Source organism: Homo sapiens, chromosome 15 (assembly GCF_000001405.40).
Source record: "Homo sapiens chromosome 15, GRCh38.p14 Primary Assembly".
Classification (NCBI taxonomy): Eukaryota; Metazoa; Chordata; class Mammalia; order Primates; family Hominidae; genus Homo; species Homo sapiens.
This window is the reverse complement of record NC_000015.10, coordinates 54,545,390-54,565,747: the sequence shown is the minus strand read 5'-3', so window position 1 is coordinate 54,565,747 and position 20,358 is coordinate 54,545,390. Positions and strand designations below refer to the sequence as shown.

Below are 20,358 nucleotides of genomic sequence, written 5' to 3'. Positions count from 1 at the left end.
CCCTAGTAATACAAATTAATTATTTTGGGTGGAATAAAACTGAATATTGCTTTGCGGATAAATCTGTCTTGCCTCTATTCCAGCTTTTCTTATTGCTTGTATATGCTTGGTTTCTGGAATTCTCCTTTGAGACAGTAGTAACATCTTACCTGGTTCTCTCACTAATTGATGAATAACATTTTGACACATTTTATAACTGCATGGATATCACAATTATACTCTCTTTTAAAAACTGTTCTTTAACAGTGTATATAAAGTAGTATGAGTGACAGCATTTATAAGGATGACCACAGGATTTACTGTCTAATTTGTAAGATTGCACTGTGGATTCTTCAGTCACCTTAATACTTGACAGCATCTGTGGTAGTGTCTGCTGTGCCACCTGTTTTCTCCCTCTTTTCTTTAATAAATATTTATTAAATCTGTATCATGAGCCAGACCTTGTGCTGGATGCTAACATTATAAAGCAAAAGAGACACAGTGGTTGCTCCAAAAGGGATTATGATCTAGTAGGAAATGTAACCAACATTTAAACAAATGACTTCAACAATACATTGCAGGTGTTAGAAAAATGATTTGAAAATACAGATAATGGGGGAGGCATGCAATTCTGTTATCTAAGGAGCCAGCAAAGGCTTCCAAAGAAGTGACATCTTTGGTGGTTATGAGTTTTTAAGTACTGTTGTTTTTAACTTTAGCAGCCAGTAGGTAATTCACCCTCATGAACTAGAGACAGAGGACAATCCCACCAAGTAACCAAGACAAACCCTGGGAGTCTCGGCACTATCTAAGGAGAACTAAAGTGTTTGTAGTTCTCCAAGTATAATTCAGACATAGTTTTAAAAATACTGTTTTCCACTGTTATTCTATACCCATCACTAAACTTGTGCTGCCTCTAGGTAGTAGAGGGCCTATGGAAGTTAAGAGATGACACTGCACTCCTAAAAATTCCCAACGCTTATTAACATGGTAGAGGCTCTGAGGCATACTGTGGTAAAGAGATCTGTGTGATCGTTTATTAATATACCTTGTTGCTAAAATTATTAGGCCATAGGACACCTATATCACTGGGCTAATACTTTTGGGAATACAAGTGTTCCATGAAATATGATTTGGGAAACCCAAGAACAGAAGAATGTCACTGAACTTCATATAATTGAGATATTGTTGAGGGCCTAGAAAGCTTCATAGGAGAAGGTAAAAAGAGTTAAGCTATGAAAGCATAAACTGTATTTGTGCTTGAATCTTTTAAAATAGTTTTATAGAAAGGCATGTTTTTAATCCTAAGGCATTATTTTGTAGAACTCTGGGACTTTGGGGACTAATCAGGAAATGAAATCATAAATAAGGTGTGTGCTTGTACATGAGGAAAACCCAAAGGTCCCTAAAGTTTTAGATTACGATACTCAACTGACTTCCTCTTTTTTAGCCATAGAGTTTTACTTGTTATTCCGTTAAAGTCTCTAGCAGGATATTTACTGAACAGAAGTTTTTTAAGGGCAGAAACTAATGTCTTTGTCTTTTGAGTGCATTTTACAATATGAAATGTCCCGAGACAGAAACCCAGGACAGAGGGTAGCTATGTCAGAAGAGAAAACAAATTGCCAGGTGGTAAGAATGAAAATATCCCATTCAATGGACACAGACAAATAACATACGCCATAGGCTCCTCACTTCAACAGTGAAGAAGGTGATTTCTATGGTTATGCAAATGCAAACTTGACGAGAATTCTACTTTATGAAAACCTTTCACACAGTGTTCAAAACCTGGAATGACAGCATATAAGAGCACCAGTCTGGTTACCTTACTGGCACAGATAATCAGGAGAAAGGGGGCTGCAGTTATTACATGGACCTTGGCATTCAGAGATTTTACATTCAAATTTGACTCTGTGCCCATGACTCTGAAGGAACTGGAGAGTAGAATCTGCATTTTGCTGAGGCTTGGGTTTGAAGGATATAAATGTGAGGGTGATGTATGGAAGTAAATATCTTAATTATTAGACAAAACCCACTATCCATAGCTCAGTGCAGTATAGTTGATTACTACTCATTATAATGGGCATTTTGTTGGGGGATAACATGCTAGAAAGGAATTTGTAAATGTGGGGTTTAAAGCCCAGTAAAATGAAAACATTAAATATGTGAAAAGTGCATTATTTTCCATTGATTCTAAACAAAAGACCAAGACTTGGTTTCTTGTAATTCCTCTATGGCCTGCAGTATAATGTAAGAAACTTCAGTTTGATTTGTTCAGATGTTTTACTTAGACTGGCCTAATGTAGCAGGAAAAAATGGGCAAAAAACAGTTAGGACAGGTCATTTCCTCCTTATTGAAGAAAAGAATTTGTAACCTCTCAGTTGAAGGACTATGGAGGAGTTGGTCATTTAGTGCAAAGAAGGATAAAGACATTAGCTGGATGACATTCTCTCTTCCTCTCTATCATGGCTGATATTTTTGCTATGGACTTAAAAAAACAAAGGCAGAAAGCATGTTTGACAGATATGCAATTGAGCTGAAGCTTAAAGTTGTTACATTGGATGACAAAATTTGGCTTTAGAAGGGTCCCGGTAGTCTGGAATGCTGGGTCTACATTTCTAGAATGAGATGGCAAAGAGGAAAGTAAAAAGCCAGAATTCATAATACATATCAATATTCATGTTTACCACAAAGTACAGAATAGGGGTGATGTGGCTTAACAACAGAAAATTTTTAAAAGTCATAAAGATTTATTTGCTTTCAAATTCAACATGATTTCATAAGTGAGAAGGCAGCTATTAAAGCAAGTGAAATCTGACCATGCATCAACAGAGGTAGACAGGTCAAGTATAAGGGTTTGGTAAGGCAGGAACATTCTTCATTGGTTAGAACACATCTGGTATATTAAGTTCATTCTTGGGCTTCATCATTTATAAGAAATATGAAAAGTGGAGGCCTTTTAAAAATAGATGACCAGAATTTCATAAGGTCTACAAGGCATGTTATTCAATAAACAGCTTCAGATGATATAGGATGGCATGATAGTTTTCTTCGATATCTGAAAGTCTATCACACAGAAAAGGGAACAGAATAATTTTATAGTAGTTCCAAAGAACAGAAGGAGCACCAATACATAGCAGGAGAGCAGATTTTTCTTTGACACATTCATCAAAAATTTCCAATAATAATGCATCTTAAAAATCAAAACTTCCACTTGTAAGTTAGTGAGGTCCCGTCACTGGCTGCTATTAAGTGGTGGCCGGAAGACCATGTGCGGACAACATTGTAGATGACGTGGCAAGAGTGGGAGATGCTCAGTCATGTTTCCAATTCTGAGAGTCTAGAATCCTCTTAACCTCTTTGATTCTCTGATCCTTATAATATGCTAGAAAATATAATTCTTCATCTGTCCCCTATACAGTCAGACTTTTGCATAATTTATTTAACCTCTTAGGCTATCAGTTAATTCATTTATAGAATGGTAGCAGAAATATCCATTCTACCTTTGGTGTTGTCAAATGGTGATTACTCTAACTGGAAGAGCTATGTGAATGCTGGAGTTCTTTCCAATTGTAAGAAATATATTTAATTGGCAGAATAACATAGAACTCAAATAGAACTCAGCATTGGGTTTTAAGCATCAGCCCCTATCTCAAGCAGGTTCTTAAATATTGATTTCCACATTCCTGCCATTGCATCTAACTCCAACATGGCACTAGGAAAATAGCCTTCCTGGCTGTCTCCCATTTTTCTTGGTGGAACCATGCTTTCTCAGTCGCTGGGGCTGAAATCTCTGAGGCATTTTGGGCTCCTTTTCCTTTTTGCCCCATATTCAGTTGCCAAGTTCCAACAACTCTCCCTGGCTTGTGTCACTCATATCCATCTTTCCCTTTCTCCTCCTAAAGCCACCACCTTGCTGATAGCTCTCATCATCTTATGAACTAAATAACTGGAACTCAAATCTCTGGCTACAATCTTGAACTATGCAATCTAATTTGTGCATTTCCTTAAGATTCCCTATTGGTGAAATGACTTTAGCATAACCTTTTAAAATCATCGATGAATCCTCTTTTATGAAATATACTGAGGGCACAAAAGGACCTCTGTATTTTCAACCTAAACATTTCCCATCAACCTCATTTTACACTGCTTCATTATGCAAACACCTAGTTAAGTCCAGGCCAGTCCACAGAGTAGTCTACTCACTGCCTCCAAGCCTTCTTGTCTTGTGCCTTTCCCTGGTGAAATTCCTTTTTCCTGTTGATGTTCATGTCATGAGTCTTCCTCCAAAAAAAAACTTTCTATCCAGCCTGTAAACGCCCATCTGTCTTTCAAGACCATTGCAGCTTTTCCTGATCTCGAGTCCATACTGGTTGATCACATCCTCTAAAACTTTATGATATTTTTAATCTGTTTCCCTCAATTAGTATTTGGATCACCTGTTCCATCTCTTACACTGTTATAAGTTAACATGTATCATTATTTCATTTTCAATGTACCTCTCTCAGCTTTTAATCTGGACTAGAAACTCCCGGAGAGAATGAACAGCACTGCTTCTCAAAGGGGAGTCTCAGGTGTTAAAGAATCTAACCAGGGCTGTGCTCTTATAGGGAAAAAGTGCTGGGCCCAGGAATCCAAAAGGCCAGAGAACAAAGCCTTAAGGATTTGAACTATTGCTTGGGGAAAAGAGTCAGATTTAATAGTCAGCTCCTTTGAGAGGGAATTAAGGGTTTATTGGGAAAGGAGGAAAAAAGAAACACACTGGTTGCAGTAGAGTATGTGGGGTCTTGGGCTTAAGAGTAGAAAGAGAAGCCTCCAAAATGAACCAATCATCAGGCAATATAAGTGACAACTTAATATTTGTGAAGCGTTTTCTATATGCCTGCTTTAATTGCTTTGTATGTGATGACTCATGTAATTTTCTTTCAATAATCTTTTAAGTAGTAGTATTATTTCCATAGGAGAGGAGAATAATTTGCACATTGGTGTCTTTCTCTCTCTCTCTCTTAATCACCTCCTATCCTGATATTATACTTGTTAGTGGTATAATTTCCCATGTAGTTTCCAGTATTTTATTTACTTTTGTAATTCATAGCCACCTTATGACATTTGTAAAGGCTTCCACCCTAGATACATTAATACATTGGTGTCACAAATGTCAGGATGTGTGATAAGGAGCACTATTATCACCGCGGGGGTAGGAAGGAGCTATATATGAAGTATCATTTTCTCTATCTTGAAAAATAACTAGATTTTCTTTTTCTTCATGACTTTTCAGAAAATAAAGCACTTGAGACCTGGTTGTGATTTGAGAGGCAAAAAAAAAATAGTACTGCTAAATTTTAAAAAATCAGGAAAAATATTGCCTGCATGCTTGGCAAGCTATTTTTTTATAATCCCAATAAAACTCTCTGAATTCTTCTAACTCTTCAAACTTTTCAAGATTGAAGATCTTGCACAATATAATATTTTTACTGACTCATGGGAACATGCTATTGTTTCCTTACAAGATTATAAGAAGAATTCCCTTTTTTTGTTAAATATACTATTTTGGTAGCAATTTTCCATCATTACTTTGTTCTTTCCAACACCTGTATCATATTTTCGGCAAATCCAGGCAGACAGCTCATTTTGCAGACTTAGATATAATCATAACCCACCTTAACTTTATAATTTTAGAGGTTAGCCACTAAAGTTTTCTTTTTTTAGAAATTATTTGACAGATATTTTAAAAAATTATTTTCTACCACAACTGGAGTCCTCTTTTACACATCATAATATGTTCTTCCCGCCCATAAAATATTTCAGTGTTTCTCTTTTGCTGACAAACTAAAGTTGAGATTCTTTACTTTGGTGTTTAAGCCGCAGCATGCTGGCTCCAATCCAATGTTCCTCTTTCATTCCCTGTGATACTCAGCCAGTCATGATCAGTTCTTCTACACTAGACTATTTAAAGTTTTCATGCCGGCCAATGCCTTCTCTTCGGTCACTCATGCTGTGTTTTCTATAGGCCTGCAATGTCTTTCTCCCATTGTTTTTTCCCTCTTTATCCTCTACATCCCCAAATGTCCTTCTCTGGGAAGCTTTTCCCTGGAAATTCAGAGAAAATTCATCACCCTCTCTGCCCTCCCCCATCCTTTGATCACAATTATTTTGCTGACTATAGATGTTTTTGTTCCCAAGTCAAAGGCAGGTGCTCTCATCTCCAACCACCTCCTCATTGCTCACCATATTTTCTACCTACAGTAAGCTCTCAAATAATGATATTTGAATTGCAATCCTCTAAACTAGGTAGGTTATTTTGTTCTTCTCATGAGTAGCTGGATTTTAACCAAGGCAAAAGCTATACTTGTAATGGTGAAAAGAAGATGCTGAGAAAAAGCCCTTGGAATCACCCCATGGACAATGGAGATAGCAGGATAGGGCAGAACCTCTGCGAGGGTAAGAAACACAGAGGAATAAAATGTGGTTCATCACCATGCTCTTATGTTTGCCTGGAGTCCTGAACATAAGAAATGGTATTATCTAGGATTAAATAAGAAAGTAATAAGTTCCAAAGCTATATTTGAATTTATAGTTAAATTCCTTTCCTTATACCAAGAAATGCAGATTTCTAGAGGGTCCTGATTCACATGTTTATTGTTTTTGGAGAAACCTCAGTATTGCCACTGCATGAAGCCAAATATATTTGCAACATATAATGTAGTGTCATGTTCAGGCCCATATAACAGGGGTTCTGGGGGAATTTAAAAATTAAATCATTCAGCATTTTTTCAGGTCAAAGTGTAACTGCTATTTCTCTTTGAAAGAAATCTACATTTAGGGGAATCTCATGTCAGTCCTGAGTCTTCTTGAGATATGGGGTTGGAACTCAAAGTCCAGCTAGAACGCCTTTAAAGTTTCCCTATTGGCCTCCCTATTAGTTTGCACATATAGATTGGGTGACTGATTATCTGTCTCATAGCTGCCACTTTTCTACTTTTACTTTCAAACATTGTTGATTTGGTTGCTTTTCCGGGTAAATGGAATGTCTCAAAGCCCAACCATCCTACCTGCAGCAGATGATCATAATTTTTGTTACTCCTGCCATATTTGACACTCTTGACTTATAATAGAAGCTACATGTGACTGGTGTTATAAAATAGTTCCAGTCCAATTAAAGTTTTAATATTTAGAAAAGTTAATATTTTCATCAATATTGTATAGAGGCTGAAAGGTTTTACATTATTTTAAAATAATTAGAAAATAATCTAAGTAATTGACGTGGTATTTTAATATAGCAAGAAGTAATCTCTTTGAAGAAGTATCCCTTTTAGCCTGCTACATTTTACTTAAACTTCGTACATACTGATTGAAAAAATGTGACATAGAAGCAAGGACACTGGCTTTAGAATTTGGAGTCCTTTCTCAGCTCTGCCAATTACTAGCAGAGCTATGGCCTCGGAAAAACAACTGAAATCTCTTCACTTTTAATTTTCTCTATTATCAAAGGTGAATAATCATTCTTTTTTTATTATTATACTTTAAGTTTTAGGGTACATGTGCACAATGTGCAGGTTAGTTACATATGTATACATGTGACATGCTGGTGTGCTGCACCCACTAACTCGTCATCTAGCATTAGGTATATCTCCCAATGCTATCCCTCCCACCTCTCCCCACCCCACAACAGTCCCCAGAGCGTGATGTTCCCCTTCTTGTGTCCATGTGTTCTCATTATTCAATTCCCACCTGTGAGTGAGAATATGTGGTGTTTGGTTTTTCGTTCTTGCGATAGTTTACTGAGAATGATGATTTCCAATTTCATCCATGTCCCTACAAAGGACATGAACTCATCATTTTTTATGGCTGCATAGTATTCCATGGTGTATATGTGCCACATTTTCTTAATCATTCTTGACCTATCTAACACCCAGGATATTTACAAGGCAGGTGAAATGATGCACGTACATAAGAGAAATTTGAAAATGTAAAACATTATTTCAGCCTATATTCTAAAAACTTCATAGCATTTTCCTTCTTTGTTTTCTCATTTCTAGCTTATTCAATTAAATTGAGCTGAAGAGGAATTAAAGATTATCTCTTTAGCAGCCGTTGGAAATTAGCATGGGTAGCGTCTGCTCCTTTGGTCTAAGGTCATCTTTCTCATAAGGTCTCTGCTTGCATTATAGTGCTCCTTTGGCTGGGCTCCGGGGAGACATTGAATCTTTAGTTCTTGGAGTTAAAACTCTTTTAAGTTGTACTCTTCCTTCTCTTGAATTCCTTTGTAGTCAATCTCACAATTAATGTTTGGTAGGACAGTAAGTTGGTGCAAATCTCACAGACAGACAAGATAAAGGGAGTCTCAGCTTTGGCAAACTGATGACAGTCATTGAAAATCAGATATCAGGTGAATACCTTGGCAGATGGGCAGGGCACAGGGTCAAGAGAGTCTAATAGCAGGCACAGCAGGCCTAGCATGGAGGTGCCTAGAGAAAGAGTTGGCATCACAGAAGTTAGGGAAGAGGGGAACTGGAGAACTGACACACGCTTTGGGGCTCAGGAGGACCAGAGTCAGACTCCAGTCCTGGAGAAACAAGACAAATGGCATGGACCCATTTACTGGACCTAGGACACCAAATAGTAGTTTTGTCCACAAAGAACAAGGCCGGTGTCTGGTGTCTGAGACTGAATTAAAATATTAGTATAGATGATATAAACAGGAAGATAGGATAGTTGAGCTGTCAAGATAAAAGGAATTTGCTTGAGGATCAACATTATCTTAGACTCTGAGAAGAACTCAGCCAGCAGGTGGTGATCATCTGGCCCCATCAATAAAAATTAGAGAAATGTTGAAGTTAGAGACAGAAGCCAGATCTGTGAACACAGTGAATACCATTCCCTATTTCCACAGGACACATTTTCCTTCCTTTCCTAAAGCCATGCATTGACCTAATAAAATGCATGAAGAGTTGAATTCAGATGCCAAATTTTTTTCTTTTCTTCCTCTTCATGGTGCATGCTAGAGCTTATTTTTTTTCTACTAGCATGTCCTTTTATAAAGCTATTAGTGCTACTATAACTCCAAAGATTAGTTATTTCTTCCTCAAATTTTTGAAAATAATTTAAAAAAACTTTTAAAGTTTTTTATTGTATTTCTTTTTCATGTTGTTCATTTTTTCCTAAAAATTATTTTGCAAATTTTCCATATTTCCAGACAACATTTTGGCTACCTCTTTAGAAACTCCATTTCTGTGATCCAGGTGCCTCCAGGTGTCACAAAACTCTCACCTCCCAACTTTAATGTGGCAGTTTTTACCACTGCAGCAGCAAAAGACTGCCTCATATTAAATGCTGAAACTGCAAAACAAAAGCCACGAGGTGACAGTTTTGTGAAAGTATGTGACTGTTATTCAGATAGAACTCTGTTGAAATGAATACCATTGTTTCTATCCAGTAGAACTGTTCTATGCTCTACAAATGGGTCATGGTAGCTAACAGTTACAGTATAGTTAGTAGCTATGCTATTCACATATCTTGGATAGTAGATGTTTCCCCCAGTGAAGAGTAAAAACTTTGGACATCATTTGAATTTAGAAGACAAACTCATCTTTCAAACTCTTTAATAAACTTTCACATATAAATATATATGGATATAAATATAAAAGAAATTATTTGAAAATAACTTCTAGGTTACATTTTGAGATCTGCACATATTTAGCATACACTACAATAACTTTTAATCTTTGGCTATGAAAACAGCTGATGCGTACAAACGACATCTTTGGGTATTCAGCAGAAAATGAAATGAAATTATTGTACTTACTAAGCGAGAAGGGAGGGTTGATATTTTAAAAATAATTTCAACATGCATAGAAAACATATAAAAACAAATTCTGTCTACCCAAAATATTCTCAAAGCATCTGTTTATCTGGGTTTTAGGGTACATGTCTTTGAGAACATGTGTTAAAACATAGGTTTCACTTATGCTTTAGAGAGAGACAAAAGAAGCAAGTATAAGGACAGTCTATTGTGGATGTCATAAGGAGATAGACAGGGGTAAATCTGGCATCCTCCAGGAATGTATTAGGTTGGTGCAATAGTATTAATGGCAAAAACCACAATTACTATTGCACCAACCTATATCTATTCAACTATCTACTATCTCTTTGAATGGCGCAGCTCTACTGATACATGGCTAAGATCAGGGCTACCTATCTCTGGAGGTAAATGGGGGCCTCTCTCGATGTATATATAGGAGCATTATAATCTCACCTTGATGGTAGCCAGGACTACCTCCATTATAGCGCATTGTCTTGGCGTCAGACCCCTGGCATCCTCTCGAATCATGTGCTCCTGGAAAACAGGTGAAGAATTGCTTATAAAACAACCAGTTCATGTATTCAACAACTACTTGAAAACATAATCTGTATTATCCCCATATGCCAAACTTCCTATTTGAAATATCTTCTGCACCTGAATGCATTTAAAATAAAATGATTGTCATATATTTTATAAATCTCCTCTCTGTCAAAGGAAGAAATGTTCAATATTTACTTAAAAAGAAGTGCTTTGATAGAGGTGTGGCTTTATTTTCACTTGCAAACTAATGTTAGGGAAAAAAGAGAGAAACCTGGAAAATGCGTGATGAAATTTTGTCACCTGACTTCCTTGGTTTATGTCTGTCACGTTGAGGACTATCAATCATGAAAAGGATTTAAGGAGCAAATTTAAGCCTCTCCCAATTATTACTGATAAAGTCTATTTTAAATATAATGCCTCCACTTTATTCTTCTTCTTAGATGCCCTCAATTCTTACTCATTCCTGGGAAAAGCCCCAAGGAATTAACTAAATTTGGCTGTGAATATTTTAAATATTTTATAATCATTTTAAGTATTTTAGAACTGATTTTAAAACTTATTTCATTATTTTACAATGGAATTTCTTCGTTGTTCACTGTGGTCTGTTTCAACCCATCATACAAAGCTTATTTAGGGAAATGATGGCAGAAAAAGAAAATAATAAAGGAAATAAAAACTAAGGGAAAAATTTAAAAATGTCTGATCCCCCAAAACTGATACAATCATCCCAGGGCTGCCATTATTCTATTCGACAACACTCAACAAATATTTATTGAGTGTTTATTTTGTGCCAGCACTGTTCGCAGAGAATGAGATATATTGTTTAATACAGGGAAAACGTTTGTCCTTCTGGAGCTTAAACTTATGTAGGTGACTTTGTGAATTAGAAGAAAAGTCCCACGTGGGGGAACATAGCTCTGAGCAGGTATGGAATGAAGAGTAAAGCAGTGCCTTTGGTAAATAATAAAAGGTGTCTTATTTTTTATAAGAGGACAGCTTCAAGTTAACACATACGGCTTGGCAAGTGGAACATGGGCTCAATTTTGGCTGTCACTTGCTCCTTTAGGTATGCATTTTTGCATAATGCACAAACCACGCAATCACACCCAGTGGCTTGTCCTTCTATTTTGGCCTTTATCTTACTGTTTTATTTGGTAGTTGCCACGACTTCCTGAAGATAATAATCTATCTATGTCTCGCTCACTCCTTCAGCTTTTCCGTGTCTATTTTGGCAGTTGTTATCTGCTAGGCACTCAGTAAATTTTTGGTAATTGGATTGTACTTCCTTCAATGTGTGTCACAGATTTTATATGCTCCAATAGAATCATTGTCTTTGGATACTGCTAACAACATGGTATAATGTTTCATGGATCCATGATATATATTTATACATCTTACTGAATCTTTCTCTGATACGGGGATTTCAAGTTAATCATATGAGTTCATTTCACAGTTTTTAAATAGCAATATTATATACCCATTGAGACTCAAAGAGTAATAGAAATGTTTGCTGAATTATAGGGGAAAATGCTTTCAGACAAGTAATTAAAAATATTTTCTATTAAATAAATTTATCTGGCTTCATCAATCTTGACTGGTTTAACAATGTGGTCACATTATTTTCTAACAGATGCTAATAAGTGATATACGCTGGTGCTAGAAATATAATTCTTACTAGAAATAATTTTTTAGAATTTAGCAACAGATCATTCAAGTAAGGGGATCTCTGAAAGAGGCCAGCAATGAGTTATTGCCCAAGTAAAAAGCATGCAGTAAACTCAGAGTCTCAGGTGTATTTTCATCAATTGGTTTTAATATTATATCACCAGTTCCTGAAGATTTATGCATTTTTTTATGTCAAATAAATCTGATTATATGAAATATTTTGAGGCAAATATATGTTATATATAGCATATATTTAATATATATTATATGTAATACACATTATAAATGTTTTCTGTAATATATATTATATATTATAATTATATTATATATTATATATAATATTATATATTACAATATATAATATAATATACTAATACATAATATAATATAATTATATATTATATTATATATTACAATATATTCAATTATATATTATATATAATATTCTATATTGTAATATAGAATACAATATATAATATTCTATATTGTAATATAGAATACAATATATAATATATATTGTAATATAGAATACAATATATAATATATATTGTAATATAGAATACAGTATATAATATATATTGTAATATAGAATACAGTATATAATATATATTGTAATATAGAATACTATATATTATATATTGTAATATAGAATACAATATATATTATATATTGTAATATAGAATACAATATATATTATATATTGTAATATAGAATACAATATATATTATATATTGTAATATAGAATACAATATATATTATATATTGTAATATAGAATACAATATATAATATATATTGTAATATAGAATACAATATATATTATATAATGTAATATAGAATACAATATATATTATATATTAATATATATATAGTAATATAGAATACAATATATATTATATATTAATATATATTATATATTGTACTATATAATATAATTATATATTATATTATATTGTACTATATAATATATTATATATTATATTATATATTGTACTATATATTATATATTGTACTATATAATATATATTATATTATATATTGTACAATATAATATAATTATATATAATATATAATTATATAATTATATTATATAGTACAATATAATATAATTATATAATTATATTATATTGTACAATATATAATATAATTATATAATTATATATTATATATTGTACAATATAATATAATTATATATAATATATAATTATATACAATATAATATATAATTATATTATTATATATAATATATAATATATAATTATATATAATATAATATATAATTATATTATATATTGTAATATATAATTATATTATATATTGTAATATATAATTATATTATATATTGTAATATATAATTATATAATTATATATTATATTATATGCTGTAATATATAATATACATTGTAATATATAATATAATTGTATATAATATATAATTATATATTACATTATATATTGTACAATATAATTATATATAATACATAATTTTATATTATATATTGTAATATATAATATAATTATATATAATATATATTACACCTAATGAAATTCCAGATTATGAAGTAATAGAAAATGTCAAATTGTTGAATAAATACATGTTTAATGGAATAATCCCAAATCATAGCCAAACACAGAAAACCAATTAGTTCCCCACATTGTTTCATTTTTCTTGATCTTGTGTTCCTTTAGGCAGTTATCTATCAATACTCCTAAATAGGAGTTCTGAAATTTTCTATCAGTACAATTATTTCAAATAGCACCTTTTCAGCACATCATATCTGCTTTCAAATTAATATATTAAAAATTTAAAGACCCATAGTTTAACATTTTTTTTAAATGGGAGTGACATTCTAATAAAATAAGAGGAAATAGTTTTATACAATTTGAAGTTCTTCATGCCAGCTGGAGTTTCAGGTTTTTGCATAATACTGTAGGAGATTTATTGCTCTGTAATTCAAATAGTAATAACTAAATGGACTGATAATTTAAAAATAAAAAACTCAAAAGCCAATAATGGAATATGATACAGAACGAAGTTATTTTTCTCATCATCAATAGACACAAAGACTATCTTTAGTCCTTCATGTTATTTCAGTGTTGTTGAAATAATCCTGTTAGGTCATTGTATTTATAGTGTGCTTTTAGGTTATTAGAATTAAAAAAGAATTCAGTGAATTGAGAAAATAATGGGACCACAAAGCATGCTAAAGTGTTATGTTTTCTGTGGACCCTGATTTTTCCCACAGAGCATGTATATACCCTCTAGGGAACCAGTCTCTATCTCGATCAGAGTTCATAGGATTTGGATTGGGTTGTACCCAAACCTCAGGGTGAGTATGTCAGTTAAGCCAATTGGCACATGTCACTTCTCAGACCATGGTGACTGGTTTGGGAATGGTGATCATACTTCCTCAGAGCTACTGATATTCCAGGAGACTTTGCTGTGATTCCTTGCACTGAGATGGGTGTTTTTCTCTACAAGATTTGAAGTTCAAAAGATGTAACATCAAAGGATGTGAGAGCAGAGACAACCAACTTACACACAGAAATGAAGGTCTGTTATGGCAACGTATCAAACAAGGAGAAGGGCAGAGTTGAGAGGCAGTGAGTATCTGGGTCCTGTAAAATTGTTTGAATCCCTAATCAAGCAGTAACAGAAACCAGAGTTACCCCTGGACTATAAAATTTCATGTAGCAGTAAATTCCCTGTTTGCTTATGTTTGGCTTTCCATCACTTGAAAATGAAATAGTTCTAGCTGATAGAACACTCAACTCAGGAAACTGAAGCCTGGGGAGATGCAGTGTGCTTACTAACATCACACAGATATTAGATGCATGGCCAGGGCCATTTCTTTTGTAGTAAGACCTATGTTATTTCACCTTCATGGTTTTATGTGAGAAACTTCCGCAGTGTATAAATCCACTTTTCAAAGTAGGCTCCAGAAATCCCAGGGAGGTAATAAAAGGGATACAGAAAGGGATAAAGATCCAAGATTCAAAATAATAGTTTGGCAGTGACATCTACCTTTTATCTTTCCTTCCAACCATCAACAGCACTGAACATGTGTGGGTGACAATTTTAGGTGATAGTTATATCTTCCAGATGGATTACTGGTTTTAATTTTTGTGTTAGGAATGGGATAATGTGGATGATAAAATAGAATACTGAAATTATAAGGCACATATTTTACCTCAGTAAATAATTATACATTTTGTTTTTCCCCTGTGCTGTACATATGAAACAATCCAATACTCAATGGCACCTAACTTTGAGCTACCAGCTGGGGGAGGAATGAAGATAGCTCCAACTGCAAGTGGGAGGTGACATACACTTTGCAGTTACCAAGCAAAGATAATGTATGTCTTGTCTCATTTACACTCACAACAATCCTTATAACTGATATTATTCTTTTTTTGCATTTTACAAGAGCCACATCTGAAGATTAGGGAGGTTAAATACTTTGGCCCATGTCACATAGTAGGAAGCATTTGAGGAAGAATTTGAAACAAGGTTACCTGTGTCTGGAACTCATCCCTTAACTACATTCTAGTAGGTAGAAATGGAATAAAAATAGCATGTATTTTAGCCAGTCAAGTTCCTATGCTAGAGGAACAGGGACTGAAGTTTCCTGCCTAAATCCAGTGTTTTGGGAATCTCAAATTATAACTAAGCACAAGGTCATTTAGTCAGAACATCTCCCACTTGTAATGGTATTGAACATGTTGACAAGTTCAGTGCCTGCTTTGATGAGTTTCATTTTCCCGTACTGTGTTTCTTGGTTTGAAGACTTCTCTAGACTTCACTGGATTTCTATGCAGTGTTCCATTTTGTCTTTGTTCACATCAAGCCAGTTTAATATATGAAAGAAAATATGCTCTCTAATTTAATCCAGAAGCAATAATGCTAAATGCTGCAATACAAAGTTAAAAATTCCTAAAGCAGATTGTGAAATCACACACACATCTTCTTAATCCTGCCATGCTAGATACTATTACTAGGAGGAGGATGCTTGCAGAACTGTAGTTAACTCACTACTTTCCATGAATAAGTAATTTCCTTATTTTTATTACCTTCAGTTTGGATAATTGTCCAAGATCTTTAGCTGCAATGAAAATCATCTGGGGTCCCTAGAAACAAAGAAAAAGTGAGAGAAGACTCAGTCTTAAGATATTCAGTATTAGTCACAATAGAAATGCAGTCAACAGATAATTTCTTTATTTCCCTTATAAGACTTATGGCTTATGCCAGATGCCCTTAATTGGTCTATTATAAAGATTGGGTCAAATATATCTAGTACCGCTGGCAGTATAACAGTCCTCATAGGTGTCCCACTTTTCAAAGTCTTAAGTTTAGGTTAATGACTAGGTTGCTACTAATGTAGCCAGTTTAATGTAGTATATGGATTAAATCAGTGATCTTTAACTTTTATTCATTTATTTTTAGCAGAGGCAACTTCCTCATTCTACTCCCTGCAAAAATAAATGTATGCAAAATCTGAAGATACGGGGCTAAAGAAGGTGGAATTGCTCCTTCTAAAATGCTGTCCAGTCTATTAGCGACTACCCTCTTAACCCCTCCCTCAGCCAGAGGCTTTCTCTAGAACCCCAAGGCCCTGGGGAAATGAATTTGAAAAACACTGGAATAAACTATCCAATGCTTTACTAGAATGAAAAACTAGAGGCATGTCTGTTGGTGTATGTGACTGGAAAAGTACTAAATTTGGCCAAGTTCATTAGAGCTTGAAATATTGTCACAGGAAGGAAAATTAGCTATTCTGAACAAATGTTATCTAGATGTTTTATCGGAGTGTGTATTTTATTGGAGAATTAAAGACTATAAGTTTGAGAATAGTGACCGTGGTTAATTTTGCTCATATTTTGCCCCGTCACCTAGCACAGTGCCTAGTACATAGTAGGAGCTCAAAGAATATTTATTTAATGAATGAATAAATGATATGTATTCATACTTGGATATCTCAATGCTAGAGAAATTTTAGGTGATGGTAAGCTTTCCTAGGGAAAACCTTATACAGAAAATGAAATGTCATAGATAGCATTTCTACTGTAACATAATATATACATTCTTGAAAAACCTCACATTCTACAAAATTGCACACTAAAAATAATAGGGCTTATGGGAAAAACAGCAATGGGCAGAACAGTCCAAGCCCTTGCAATTCTGTTACTAAAGAACAATCAAAACCATAATTGCTACTTTGAAGAACAATCAAAACCATAACTGCTACTTTGGGATATGGCTTGGACAGCTAGCAGGGAACTCAGTGAAGCTAATGGTTGCCTCAAGGAATATTAAAAATGCAAAATATCCTGGCTAACACGGTGAAACCCCGTCTCTACTAAAAATACAAAAAAATTAGCCGGGCATGGTGGCAGGCGCCTGTAGTCCCAGCTACTTGGGAGGCTGAGGCAGGAGAATGGCGTGAACCTGGGAGGTGGAGCTTGCAGTGAGCCGAGATCGCGCCACTGCACTCCAGCCTGGGCGAAAGAGCGAGATTCTGTCTCCAAAAAAAAAAAAAAAAAAAAAAAAAAAAAAGCAAAAGAAACAAAACAACAACAACAAAACAAGAGTTCAAAAGTGGGCTGAGACAATGCTCACGCAAGTGGAGCTACCAGCAGACGGGAAAAGGTAGCCTGCAATCTGTGACAGTCATGCAAGCTTCAGTTTTCCAGAGAGGGAACCCATGATGTACAGTTACTCTCCTCTTTTTTCCTTTTTAAAACAGGTCTGTGAAGTAGCCAAGGTGAGAGCTTTTTCTTTTTCGGCTGAAGTTATAGTTTTTCTATTACATTCGAGAGCCTCTGACCTAGGGAAATTTATATATAAACCAACCCAACTTCCAGATTATACTGACATTCCTCTATTGAACAACTACATGAGTGCTAACTGGTGTTATGGAAATATATTATGTATTGAAGTAGAATGTGTATGTGTGTGTGTATTTATAAATGTGACTTAGAACCTATATATATGTAGGCTATAAAATGATTAAAGCACACATTCATGGCATTAAGCGAAACTCAAAGTAATTTATATTTTATCACTCACTGTCTGGCAGTAAATCAACAAAAACACAGGCATATTTGCATCTCGGAACACTTTATAAGAAAGTGTTTTCTAGGCATATGCTTTCACTGAATAAACATGGACTGAGTGTGTATAACTAATGTATAATAATGCATATTTTATTTCCATTTATACTTACTCATTATTTGCATCAATTTATCTTCCTCAGTCACGGAGAAAAAAATACATTGCCCCGTAACAGGTGCTTGTTAGTGTTATTTTTCCCTTGTTTGGCTCAGGATATGTGAACAGAGATACCTGGCTCTGTGTATCCACTTGACCAGTGTCTAATTTTGCAGCCAATTGATCTTTCTGGTTCTTTTCCTTTTTCTTTGTGTGATACAATCACATTTTTCAGATTCACTAAAAGATGCCTCCTCTATTAACTTCCAAGTGGGGAGGTAAGAGATGAAAGCATAATAGAAAGGTGAAAAAAAAATCCAAATAGCAGTGGTGTAACTATCTCCTTAAACTGTAAAATTTAAGAAAGAAGCACAGGGATACATTGTATCTTAATTCTATTTTCTTGAGGTCGGTAAAATTAAATAAAAATTGTATGTGTAAACCAGATAACACTATAAATAGAACTTTGATACATGTTTTAAGAGGTTAAGTTCTGACTGTCAAGCAACGTGAAGTCTGACTGCTATTGCCATTATTTAAAATTGACTTGGATAGGAAACTATCATTTGAATGATCATTGTTAAGAAACTGGATACCAAACACTTTTTCCCCAAAGGGATTTAATTAGTATTTCATCTGGATGAAAACCATTCACTTAAACCAAAAACAGATGGGTTAATGAAAGCATAACTAAACTTTATATACTTACTGTTTGATCTGTCAGAGGAGGAAGAACAATTTGTTTTTCTATTTTGTTGAGAACTAGCTTCCATAACTCTTTTAAAACTCGCTTTAGGACTGTTTTCTCACAGATTTTTGCTGAGAGACTTAATCTGAAAAAAAAATATATATATATATTCACTTTTAAATTTCAGATCAAGGTATCAATTTAGGCCTTTACGATTTTCAAATGCTAAATTCCATTTACTAAATTATTATACAAAATGTATAATCTCAAAAAACTATTTCATGATTCTGTACATTAGATAATTCTCTATATTTGATGGAAAATGAAATCAGCATACTTCTTTTCTTACGTTGTTTTCTAAATCAACAGGCTTTGGAAAGATAAATAACTTTTTTCCCATTATACTTTAAGTTTTGGGATACGTGTGCAGAATGTGCAGGTTTGTTACATAGGTATACACATGCCATGGTGGTTTGATGCACCCATCAAGCCGACATCTACATTAGGTATTTCTCCTAATGCTATCCCTCACCCAGCCCTCCACCCGGCGACAGGCCCTGGTGTGTGATGTTCCCCTCCCTGTGTCCACGTGTTCTCATTGTTCAACTCCCACTTATGAGTGAGAACATGCGGTGTTTCATTTTCTGTTCCTGTGTTAGTTTGCTGAGAATGATGGTTTCCAGCTTCATCCATGTCCCTGCAAAGGACATGAACTCATCCCTTTTCATGGCTGCATGGTATTCCATGGTGTATATGTGCCACATTTTCTTTATCCAGTCTATCATTGATGGACATTTGGGTTGGTTCCAAGTTTTGATATTGTCAATAGTGCTGCAATAAACTTATGTGTGCATGTGTCTTTACAGAAGAATGATTTATAATCCTTTGGGTATATAGTCAGTAATGGGATTGCTGGGTCAAATGGTATTTCTAGTTCTAGATCCTTGAGGAATCGCCACACTGTCTTTCAAAATGGTCGAACTAATTTACACTCCCACCAACAGTTTAAAAGTGTTCCTATTTCTCCACATTCTCTCCAGCATCCGTGATTTCCTGACTTTTTAGTGATCACTCTAACTGGCGTGAGATGGTATCTCACTGTGGTTTTGATTTGCATTTCTAATGCAAATGACCAGTAATAATGACCAGTAATAATGAGCTTTTTTTCATGTTTGTTAGCCGCATAAATGTCTTCTTTTGAGAAGTGTCTGTTCATATCCTTGTCCACTTTTTGATATTTTTTTCTTGTAAATTTGTTTAAGTTCCTTATAGATTAAGTAGACTAAGATTTAAGTTCCTTGTAGGATATTAGCCCAGATGGATATATTGCAAACATTTTCTCCCATTCTGTAGATTGCCTGTTCACTCTGATGATGGTTTCTTTTGCTGTGCAGAAGCTCTTTAGTTTAATTAGATCCCATTTGTCAGTTTCGGCTTTTGTTGCCATTGGTTTTGGTGTTTTAGTCATGAAGTTTTT

General features: G+C 34.3%; 1 protein-coding gene across 7 annotated transcripts in view; it reads right to left on the bottom strand.

Annotated features, from left to right (window-relative positions):
• Window positions 1-20,358, bottom strand: part of UNC13C (unc-13 homolog C) — a 795,839-nt gene that overhangs the window by 67,693 nt on the left and 707,788 nt on the right. For all 7 annotated transcript variants that reach the window (XM_047432538.1, XM_017022220.2, XM_017022221.2 and 4 more), the window contains 3 exons: window positions 18,903-19,026; window positions 16,057-16,113; window positions 10,236-10,316 (listed from right to left, as the gene is read on the bottom strand). In XM_047432538.1, the coding sequence (XP_047288494.1) occupies window positions 10,236-10,316; window positions 16,057-16,113; window positions 18,903-19,026 (262 nt within the window). The remainder of the gene's footprint in view (window positions 1-10,235; window positions 10,317-16,056; window positions 16,114-18,902; window positions 19,027-20,358) is intronic.